The following is a 12,586-nucleotide window of genomic DNA, read 5'->3' on the forward strand; positions in this document are numbered from 1 at the left end:
GACTGACAGGTAATGAAAATAATCTTGATTTCAAAAAATCAAGTATTTTCAATTATAACATGTTTTATATTATAATTTGCTTTGTAATAGAACATTTGTTACATTCTATTAAGCAGAAATGAAATACCCCTGAAAAATAAAATATATTTTTATACATTTAGAAAGTTGACTCACCAAAATATCATTTACCATGGATCTAATTCTAAAATAAAATGAACTGTATATTCTATTTTATATTAAAACATTAACAGTGCTATACACATCTTTTTTTGCTATTATATATTATTTATCGACTTTAATAAAAATGAGAATAAATAGCAAAGAAGACATTTTGATAATGCAAAAGGTTTGTGAAGATATGAATTGACAAAAAAAGTTATGGGGTTTGTGATGGGTAAGCACAAGGCACCATATTTGGGAAAGAGGATGTGTAGGAATTAAAAGCTCAGACTTGGGAACAATTGGTGTTCAAATTCTGCTCATTCTACCAATGTATCTGTCTTCATAGCTGGAATTATACTTGCACCTAATTTCTGTGATAGCTATGATAAGTAAATTTCAATGGCTTATGTAAAATGATCAATGCTCCATCATGCTCAGTAATAATAGCTACTATTATTAACAGCTTTATTTGTAACATGTTAAATTAAGTTTTTATAATACTTGATTTTGAATAATACTTAAATAATTAAAAAGTGAAAGTATTATTCTTTGGCTTCTATGTTTTCTTCTGTACAAAAATGGCAATAAAAACATTGTAGGTTTGCTTGATTATTAAATGGGATGATGGATATAAAACACTAAGCAAAATACTTGAAACATAGCAAGTAATCACCTGCCAGTAGGTAACATCATTATTGTTGTCATTGTTACTGTTTATTCCTGATGAGGCCTATATCACAATTGATTATAAAATTCATGCTAAGATAAACATACAAACAATAATAATAGCAACAACAACAAAGTCCTAGACCACATAAAAATGTTACTGGAAAAAAGTTAATGACTCCTTTAATAAGCTGGCAAGTAAAAGATGAGTATTTCAACTTTAGCAATTCTTCGTTTTTCAGAATTCAACATATTTTGAGGGTTATCTCAAGATGTGAATCTTACAACTTATTGTATTCAGCAATTTCACTCTCTAAACATTAAATATAGCGCCAATTTTATAAAAATTGTTTTAACCAGCTCTTACATCTTTTCCCATGCAAATGTTTGTTAAATGTTTTCATGCTAAATTTTGAAATAGGTCAACAAAATTAAATATTTTATGAAAAACATTTTTACAAATGTATACAAAAGTTTAAAATTTCTTACAACTTTAACTATATTCATGTCCATTTTAGTTCTAAAAAGAAACATAGATTCCAAGTCACCAAATATTAAAAATCCAGTAGATGCAAAAGGAAGCAAATATTCACATTTAGTGATATTTTTAAAAGATTAAAGCATCATGCAGGTCACAATATTCATATTAGAGACAAATGTGCACCTTGAGGATAAGGAGAAATGCCCCAAACACAAGTAAGTTCATGATTAAACTTGCTTAGCTATATCACAAAAAGCAGAGGCAGTATCTTATTAAATGTTAATGACAGATCTTTTGAGGATGGAACTGGGGATAGTTGATTACATTCCTAAATTTTAATGGAGCACTAAAATCATGTAAAAAAAAAGAGAGAGACGAATTGGTACCTATTTCCTTGTCACTTGATACTTGAATAGCATATGCTCTTATGCTAATCAGAATGAAAATTAATTTTAAAAAATTGTTAGGAGGCAATTTTAAGATTATGTGGTAGAAAACACATTCCATATATGAAACGGCATTATCATAAATGGAAATATGGTGTGTTTTTCAGAGGATATTAGTTGTTCATGAGAGAAATGATTAAATTTTTTAGTGCACTAAAATGAACAAAAACTGCAAGGGGTTTATTTAAAAAATGAACTCTCTGGTGAGAGTATCATGGAGAGTTCTATGGGAAATACATTTTAAATTGGCAGTTGTCTAGATTTTTGCTCCCTCCACCCCATCCCCTCAAAACTCAAGTTCATGAATTGAAAGAAACTACACATCAGTGAACAATGAAAGTAAACAGAAATGGACATATAAATGCTGAGAAAAATAGCCAAAAATCTAACACAATGTCAATAAAATAAAATATTGATGAAACACAGATTTCTGACCTTTAAACCACTGAGAAATTAATCAGAAAAATGTATACATTCCAAGTCTTATTTATCTGAAGTGCAGCTATGCTACCCATCTTTTAGTTTCTCAAGAATAGACCCTGCCTTCCCCAAAAAAGCAAACATTAAAAAACAAATCAGTTAAAGCAATTTAAAAAGTAGCAACATAATTGAATAGAATATTCTACCTTAAATAAAATCGTTTTTAAAATACACTTTTAAAAAATTTCAAAAATTACTAAGAATATAGCTGAGCTCACTATTTTGAGAAATTCATCAAATTTTCACTATTAAGGATATATCTCTGTCTAGTTATATACTAATAAAATATATTTTAAGCACCAAAATATACTAATATCAAATAAATGGGAAGTGATAAATAAATCAGTATTTACATATAGTTATTACTTATACCATCTGATAATTATTATACCATCTGCTAAAATTATTAAATATTAGTAATATGAATGGTAAATATTATTTGATGATTATATTATTATGAAATACTGACTATATAATATTAATTTCCCATTTAAAATATTGCATGAGAAAATGCCAAACTAAGCACTGTTTACCACTCCTTCACAAAATCCTGTTTAAGTTGGGATGTTCAAAAATTGTAGATTATACCATCAACATTAAAAAATCAACAGGAGAAGGCTGGGCACGTTGGCTCACACCTGTAATCCCAGCACTTTGGGAGGCCAAGGTGGGCAGATTTCTTGAGCCCAGGAGTTTGAGACCAGCCTGGGCAACATGGCAAAACCCTGTATCCACAAAAAGAGGAAACAAAAGAAATTTATCTGGGTGTAGTTGCATGTGTTTGCAATCCCAGCTATTTGGGAGGCTGAGGTGGGAGGATGGCTTGATCTCAGGAGGTTGAGGCTGCAGTGAGCTGTGATTGCACTACTGCATTCCAGCCTGGGTGATGGAGTGAAACTTTGTCTTAAAAAACAGAAAACAAATTCCAGGAGGTGAATCTTGGTGACGAGGAGCTGCCAATCAGCATTTAGAATTTCTGATCAATTTCTGAAGTACAAAAAACAGATGGAAATAGGCCAATGGATAAAGCAGACCAAAAGAAGACACATCTCAGAAAGGCTCAGTAAATGGAAACATGACTGTGGAATCTACTCTTCCACTCAGTATAAGGAAGGAAGAATGGGAGTAATGAATAGAATGGAAAACATGGTGTTAGCTAAATGTCCACCTCCAGATCAGCTGCACTCCTTTGAACTATGGTTCACCTACTGTGCATGTAGAGAGTAAAGATGACGACGGTTGGCATTCACTCATCTCTAAACTCTATAACTTCTAAAAAATGAGAAGAAACTTTCACTATCCTAGGAGAAAGGTTAGGGCTCTTGATGTTGGAACTGGAATGTCCTAGTATTGTGCCATCATCCTATCATTTAGAATGTATATGTGTATATTTGGAAGGAATCAGATGTCATGCCACGCAAACACACGTATGAAAGTAAAATCCGATGGTTGCAAACTTGACAGTTACATACGAAACTTACCGGGCCTATTTGGGGAACAATCATGAAGAAGTTTTGAGGTAAGTGAACAATACAAAGGAGAAAAGTGAAAATGAACAGCTGGAATTACTGATTCTAATATTTTAGGAAATATGAGAAAATAAATCTAGTTAGTCCACTCAGAAATACTTGAGGAAGTAATACATCCACTTAAGGAAAAATGAACAAAGAACAGTTAGAAAATAAGACCTCTCTGAAATTCATAAAGTTATTGTAAATTTTTAATAAGCTAAAAGTGTTAAAATGAAATCTTGAAAAAACTGCTCATAGTATGGAAAAATGGCTTAAAATATGATAAAAGGAAAATCTGGAATATATGCTGAACCTAAGAAGTCAAAAATCTAACTACCAGTAGTTTCCAAGGAGAAAATAGAAATTAATTGGAATGAACAATTGATAACATTCTCAAAAATAAAACATAAGAATATTAAGTAATGAGGAAATGAAAGAGGACAAAACACAGAAAATGTACGACTCCTTAAGATTTTTTTTTCACTGTAAAAAAACAAGATGATGGAAAGTTTCTTAAGAAAAGAAAAAAAGTTTTATCTGCAAAGAATGATAATAAAATTGGCACTAGAATTAATCACAATAATGAATTCAGAAGTAGAGATTTAAATATATTATTTAAAGTTTTAAAATTAACCAAGTGCCTGACTAATTTTTTGTATTTTTGTAGAGACGGGTTTCACCATGTTGGCCAGGATGGACTCAATCTCCTGACCCCGTGATCTGCCCACCTTGGCCTCCCAAAGTGCTGGAATTACAGGAGTGAGCCAATACACCAGGTCAATAACTATTAATAGTAAGTTAAAATACTGAGAAAGAGAATAAGAAAGATACAACAGAAGAGCTATTTTTTCTTTTGTACCAAAGAGTTATAGATACCTGGAAATTTGGTACAGTAAGAATCAGAAATACAATGAAAATAATAATTACAAGAATGTAAAATCAGAAATGGTTACAATGTAGTTGATTCTGAGATTTTGGACAAAATGTTCTAGGTAGAGAATTTTCTTTATTTGTACATTTATGAATTGTTCTATTTGTTTATTTATGAATTGTTCTATTTGTTTATTAGTTTCAACCATGCTCCACTATTACTGTTAAAATTAATTTTTTTAAATGGGAATTTTACTCAATGATTAATCTGGTCCCTTTCTGCTGTGATAGTCTATGATGTTTTAAATAGAAATATAAATATTAAGCAGTGTTCTTTGGTAGCCAAGGTAGAAAAAAGAGCTGTTGGTGGTGGTATCTATACACTCCAGGGAAGCATCATATGGCCATTGTCACAACTGGTACTAACTGGTTACTCTATCTATTGAAAACATTCCACCATGCACTGACTCTTTACAATTGTTTAAGTAACCTTCTTGCTGTATTTCACATTTCACCAATATCACATAATCCTTCCTGGGAGCTTTGCCAAATACTATTATAAGAAAGAATCTATAAGTTGTGAAACTGTGGATTGATACAGCTTTTCATTATTTTAGTACTCTGAGAGGTAGACAAATGTTTATTCAATAGGCATGCACTGACTGAAATGAAAATCTCTTTGCTGAAAAGGAGCTGTGGGTGAGGACTGTGGGGTGAGGCGGTGCCAGGGGGGACCCAAAAACTTGCTAATGCATTATTTTCATCCTAATATCTTGGTTTCAGCTTTTAGTATTATATTACTTCTGGAACAACTGCAATAGTCTCCAAATTTATCTCCCTGCCTCTTTTGCCATCCAAGTATATACTGTATACTATTTCTAATTATCTTCTGAAAACATACATAGAAATATACCATCCTGCTTAAAAACGTGTATAACTTGCCTGCGCTAACAAGACAAAATGTAAATTCTTAGCATGACTTTAAAGATTTTGCACAACCTGGCCATAAACCACTCTTCTATCCTCAACATAGGTTATTTTCTTTCCTAAGAGAAAATGTTTCTTTCCTACTTTCAAGATAAACATTACCCAATAGCACTTTCTGTGATGACAATGTTCTACATCTACACTCTTCAATATGATAGCCGTAAGTCACATGTGGCTATTGAGCACTTGAAATGCGACTAGCGCTACTAAGATACTGAATATTATATTTTGTTTAATTTTAATTAATTTAACCCAACCTATCTATATGTGCTTAGTGGCTATTATATTGGACAGCACAGCTTGGGACGTATGCTAGTCTACTTTTTGTTCTCACATGTAAGGCTCAGCCCAGCTGACATAGTTCCCTCTATCTTAAATGTTCTTTCTAATTTGTTATCTTGAAAACTGCAACTTTTTCTTCAAAAAATTACTTCAGTGAAGCCACACTTTCTCTGGAATTTTCCTTGCCAAACTTCCATCAGTTTATATGTTTTATGAATGAATTATTTACACATGAAATGAAAGGAATCCTCTCCTCTCCACAAGGTTCTCTTCAACACTGTGTGCCTGTTCAATGTTTCACAGGCCACATAATATGATGTCTGAAGACTGCCTGGGATGCTAGGCATAGGCCACATAGGTCTGGCTTTGTGATACCTGTCTGTTTCCACAAGAACAGTTCCTTTAAAAATACATTTTATGTTTTTATAAAAAATAAAAATATTGTTATTTAAAAATAATAAAATATCTTATGTATATTTGTTATAAAAATAACCTACTTCTGAAAAAGCATGAGAAATTATTCATCTAATTGTTAATTCCCTCACAGACTCCTTGTTTAATTTTGATCTTTATCTTGGACTATTATTTATATTGTATCTTATTATGTTTGTATTTGCGATGCATTTTTTCACAACTGGATGTAATCATCCCTGAAAGCAAAGAACACATTCTATCTCTTTTTTGTCTCCATAATGTCTCGTCCATAGCTGGATAAATAAATTTCTATAATTTCACATCTTAATAAAATCAGGAAACTAAAAATAAGTAAGTTCAATCCTCAAATGGCTATAGCAGGCCCCTGAAGTAGGTACAACATGGTTTTCTGAAATTTCTGCTAGCCTATGGGCCGAATATTCAAGTTTCAACATAAACTACTCTTCAATTGGCAAAGGCTAGTTTATTACTAGTGCCTTTCGGTTTATTACTAGTGGCTTTATCTGTTGCATAAAATGTCTTGATTCCATAGTTCAACATATTTAACTTAACTTCTTAGACTTTCTTGAAAATAAATGTTGGCACAAATACACCTGAATTATATACTTGCCGATTAGTAATAATATATATTGGATGGGCATATGAAACAATCCAAAATGTCATTCACATGTACAATAAAATGGAAGAAAAATTTGGTCATAATGGAATAGAGAAGGAAGGAAGGAAGGAAGGAAGGAAGGAAGGAAGGAAGGAAGGAAGGAAGGTTCTTCCAAGGTAGAAAAAAGAGCTGTTGGTGGTGGTATCTATATACTTCAGGGAAGCATCATATGGCCATTGTCACAACTGGTACTAAATGGTTACTCTATCTATTGAAAATATCCCACCATGCACCGACTCTTTACAATTGTTTAAGTAACCTTCTTACTGGAAAGAAGGAAGGAAGGAAGGAAGGAGAAGGGAAGGGAAGCGAAGGGAAGGAAAGGGAGGAAAGGAAGGAAAGAAAGAAGGAAGGAAGGAAGGAAAGGGAAGGGAGAAAGGAAAAGCAAGGAAGGAAAAATAGAAAGCGAGCAAAAAAGACAAATGAAAGAAAGAGAATGAAAGAAAGAGTGAGAGAGAGCAAGCAAGCTGGCCCATTTCATGTGGAGAGTAAGTTAAAACGGGTGTTTATCAATTTATATTTTTAGGTGGTTCTTTGAAGCTAAAAATCTATTTTGTTCAAGTATTATCTCTTCCAAAAAAAACTGAACATTTTGAGATTCTCAGTTAAGCAGTCAACAAGATGTCAGGAAAAGGATTTTAATTTTGCTTAATAACAGAATTGTTGACCTTTCAGCAACTCTCTAGCCAAAGTATTGCATCCTAGCCTGACTATAGCCCTAAACATTTTTTTTAAAGGGAAAATGCTGGATTTTAAACTACTCTGAATTTTAATAAAGAAATGGGGAGATTGAAGGAAAGACAAAGAGGAAAGGAGAGAGAAAGGCGGAAGGAGGGGGTGAAGTCACAAACATTTAATACAGGCTTAATGGCAAGATGCTACAACATCTTGCAACCAAAGAAAAATGTGGATTCCAGAAAGCCCTTAAATAGAGGATTTGAGACAACAACAAACAGAGTTGCCTGTTCCTCATAAAAGTACATTCTGATTTACCTGATTAGCAAGACCATATGGCTGTACACTGAACCATGCAAGGAGTCAGATTTGATTACTGATCCCGGTTTTTCACTCAAAATATCATTTAGGACTGAAAGAGCTCATAAAGCACATAATTGAACAAAGAAAAGAGACTATCAAACTTCATTATGAATGGCAGTAAAGAAAATATTTTTGGTACTCAAGTAGTCAATTATAATATGTCAATTTAACTGTTGCTATTTGCCATTTAGTACTTCAATACTATCATTTAATTTTCGTTCTTTACCTTTCCATAATTAGTAGTTTGCAACCTAGGCTTGATGCTAAATTTGAAAGACTTAACATATGGATTAAAAATAGTAACTATTCTAGAACAATGCCTAGATTATGGAAGTCCTTAATAAATAGTTGATGAATGATTGAATAACATGATAAGTTTAAAGTCTACACTAGAGTAATCCAGCTCTCTTGAGTAAGTGTGCCATTGGAACTTTGGCTGAGTGTACATGATCTGCGGTCAAACTGATTAGCTACCATCCTAGAGTAGCCATGTTTTGGTTGTGTCCTTCGATAATATAATAGTGGTACCTAAATTATTTATTCTTAGAATGAAATTAGAGAATGGATGTGAGATTGTACATTGCCTGGCCTCTATATTAGTTATTTTTATTCTAAACATCTCCACTCAAAATTTCCAGAAATAAAACTTTCAAGGCAATAATCCAACATAGATACAGATAAGTAAACGATAAAATGGAAAATCCAGAGAAGATGCATGGCTTTGATGAAAGGAAAATTGTAGAAAGCATTCATTTTTCTTTATCTAAAAATGTAACAATGGATATTATAGTTGACTTCTGATTTGTCCATTCAGGAGACAAAATATATCCTATAGATAAGCAAAAATGACGTGAAGTTGACGGAGTCACTGGCTAATTCTACAATGCAAGTTATCAAATTTGTACTGCTAGCAATGTGCTCTGCTTTCTTGGAATATTGTGGGTATCTGAAAGCAAAATACACCAGGTTTTTCTCTTGGAATATAACATGAAAAGTAAAACATAACTTAAAAGTATAGCAGAGTTTTATAAAGAAACCAATGAAAAAAGATTAGGGAAAAATGCATTGACTCCTAGAACTTAAAAAGTTAGATAATATGGAAAACTCATTATATATACATTAAGGTAGGCTTACAAGCTTGCCACTAATGCCTGGCTATTTGATACATTTCTCATTTATTTGAGTATTTTGAAACAAATCTTTGAAAGCATTTACTAAATTAAATGTTTTCTTGTTAATTTTAGAAAAATAAATGTCTATTTTTTTAAGCCCTGTGAGAACAGGATATATAAAGGAAGGGTCACACGCTTGAGCTCTGGCACCAAAAAGGATCCAGGTCTGAGTCTTGGATCTTTCGCTTACTGAGGCTGTTCTTGTGTAAATCATTGAACCTCTACTTAGAGAGTTGCTCTAAGCATACATGAAATCATGCATGTAAAATGCTCTGCAGAGTGTCTGGAACATTCAACATGTGTTAGATATTACTTTCAGGTTGCTATAATTGATAATATAAAACATAATCATAGTCAATAACCCCATACATGAGTATATTAGATTCAGGAGAATCCATTTTAATATATTAGACTTGATGTGATATAAGTTAAGGTAATTATATGATTGAGATGGGAGAGTAAAATAGTACAAATACAGAAAAACAAAAAAAGAACGTTGTGGTCATCACTTTTAAACACAGTTGGACACTACCATTAAAGAGGAATCTTCATCACTAAAAGTAAGGTAATTTTGTTAGAAATGCAAATCCTAACACAAAAAATCGGATCAAAGGTAAATCACAAATAATGTTTGAGGTACAAAGAATCTACCACTGTGGGAAAATTCAGGCCATAATAAACCACTCTTTACACAGGGGATCCAATGGGAGACATTTGAAAAACAGAAATACACTTTTCTTGGTGAGCAATGTTAGGTACTCCAGTTTCATCTTAACTTTGTCTTTGGTTATGGGTCTCAAGCGTCCCTATTTCTGTAAACAAACACATAAATATTCAAAAGAGTATCTCTAAGTAAGTTGAGGTTTATAAAATAGAAATTTTTCTTTTTAACATACCGAGGCTTTATTTTTTAGCTTTCTGTCTTTAGTAGCAGTCTTTCCTTTTTGGTTGCTGGTAAAATAATGCAAGGTTCCATATTCCATCAAGGCTGCAAAAACAAAAATGAAACAAACAGAAACAAAGAGATCCATCGCAGTCACATAAGAAACCTTAGGTAAAGACTTCCTGGCAATTGTACTCAGGGTTGTCATAGTCAGAACTGTAGTGATACCTATAGAGAGAGGAAACAAAACAGGAAATGAAAATTAATAGACCACATTTATTCTTCCATCTGATTTGGCAATATTGTGAGTGAAATTAAACAATAGAAACAAAAATATGATTACTAGTAATTTATATTAATAATTATTGGTAGCCATAGCAACATTGTGTCCAATGTGCTCTTTGTGTTTCTGTGAGTTCTAATCATTTAAATTACTGCGGAGTGCAAGTTGACTCCTGATATCCATTCTTCCCTTCCTCCATTGTAATAGAATATCAAATATTTAGCTGGCATATGACTGCCCAGAACAACTTTATTTGCCATCTCTCTGCAGTTGAGTGTGGCTACAGGCTGAGATCTAGCCAAAGGGAACCAAGTCAAGAATGTAGGCAACATACAATATCCTAAAGACAGCATTAAAGAGACAAGGAATGCCCTTCTTTCCTTCTCATTGCCTTCTGCTGGAATACAATGGCCAGACCAATAGCACTATCTTAAAACATTAGATAATATTGGAAATTAAATTTACTCACAATACAGGAGAAAGCCAGAAGGAGACTGAGTCTCTCATACTATAATGCATTGTATCGCCTTGAAATAAAAAAAAAAAAGAAATACCTACCCCTAGACTTCACATAAGCAACAGATATTCTTCTATCTAATTGAAGTGACAGTGACTTGACATTTTCCACCATACATATACAGTCAAAATTAATCCAAACTAACATAGCTTTTTGTTATATAATAACCTGAGTTAAACCCATTTTTTAATCTCAATGTTTAAGTGAGGAATACTGGCACAGTTATATCAAGGGAATACTGCTTTGAAAGCACAGAGTAAATCCTTTTATTTTTGAGAAGTCAGCATGTATACCTGGGATGTCCCCAAGGGTCCCAATCCTGTATGTGTATCCTTGAAGGGATCTGTTTCTCATCAGTCTTTGTGTGGTTCTTATCACTATTAATCTTAGGTCTCCTAAATTACAGATGCACATGCTAATATTTCTTTTAACCTAAACTTTCATAATCCTCATTCGTTTTCCCAGTAAATATGGCCCCATGAGCGGAATTGTTTACTCTCTTAAAAGTACTAAACATAATGCTAAATGCTTCTTAATTTGACCAATATTTATAGAGTGACAACATTTATGATGAAAAGTAAATCAAAAACAGCTGTAGCAACAGTCTCTTTGGTATAGTGAAGGCAATAACCACCTCTTCCCCTCATGTCTCCATTGAAACATACCCTAAAAATTCTACTCACAAACCTGTCATTTCACTTTTATCATTTCTTAGGATTGGAGAAAATATTAAAGGTGAAACAGTTGTGATGAATTTGGAATTATGATACAAATTTAGGTTTAATCTCTGACTCTTCTATTAGCTCTGTGATCTTAACAAAGTTTTTCAACTCCTTTGTGCCTCTCGTTTAAAAAAAACAAACACAGTAATATCTTGCTTCGTAATTGTAGTAAATATACACAAAATGTACTTAATTTAATTATTTGTCTTTTTTTTAAATTTCCAAATATACAAGGCCATTGTCAGTTATATTATTTTTATTTATTTTTAATTTACTTCCTTTTTTGTTAGAAAATATACTCTGAAAATTTTAGTGTTTTGTATTTTAGTAATATCTTGTTTAATGATCTATATGCACTTGAAAATATTGTGTGCTCTGAAGTTAGGTGTAGTGTCCTATAAATATCAATCAGGTAAAGTAGTTGATGATAATTTCTTTTCAAAGTTTCTATATCCTAATTAACTTTTTCTTGTAGTTCTAACAATGAATGAGAAAACAGTATGGTTGCAGATTTATTTCTCCCACTATCCCTTACAGCTTTTACTTCAATTATTTTGAAACTAAATGTACATTTTTAAAGGCTTTGTTATGGTAAAGGCTAAAAAAATGATATATACAAGTCTCCCTTTGCCTCATCTCCCACACAAGCTTATTAAATCACATTGTTCCCATCGTCAGCCCAGGTAGGTTTCCAAAGTGTTTCTTGGCTCCACAATTATGTCTCCTATCTGAAAAATCTTAAATCCAATGTGTGGTTTCATTTTGTTATCCACTACTGCAATAAATTTTACTTTATTAAGTTTCTGTTACTTTCTTTTTTAATAAGGCAAAAAAACTAAGCAGAACTTTGCTTTCAGACATTTATTTAATTTAGTAATTATTATCACTGTCATTACCTTGAGAAGAACATAGTGGATTTTCTATTAAAATATTTCTGAGTCCGTGATAATAAAAAACACTTAAGATATTAACAGGATATTGAGAAAACATTTT

General features: G+C 32.3%; 1 protein-coding gene across 2 annotated transcripts in view; it reads right to left on the bottom strand.

Moving 5' to 3' along the window:
• The window catches only part of GABRG1 (gamma-aminobutyric acid type A receptor subunit gamma1), an 88,286-nt gene that overhangs the window by 5,571 nt on the left and 70,129 nt on the right, over positions 1 to 12,586 (bottom strand). For both annotated transcript variants that reach the window (NM_173536.4, XM_017007990.2), the window contains one exon: positions 10,085 to 10,299. In NM_173536.4, coding sequence (NP_775807.2) covers positions 10,085 to 10,299 — 215 coding nt within the window. The remainder of the gene's footprint in view (positions 1 to 10,084; positions 10,300 to 12,586) is intronic.

This window comes from Homo sapiens, chromosome 4, assembly GCF_000001405.40.
Source record: "Homo sapiens chromosome 4, GRCh38.p14 Primary Assembly".
NCBI lineage: Eukaryota > Metazoa > Chordata > Mammalia > Primates > Hominidae > Homo > Homo sapiens.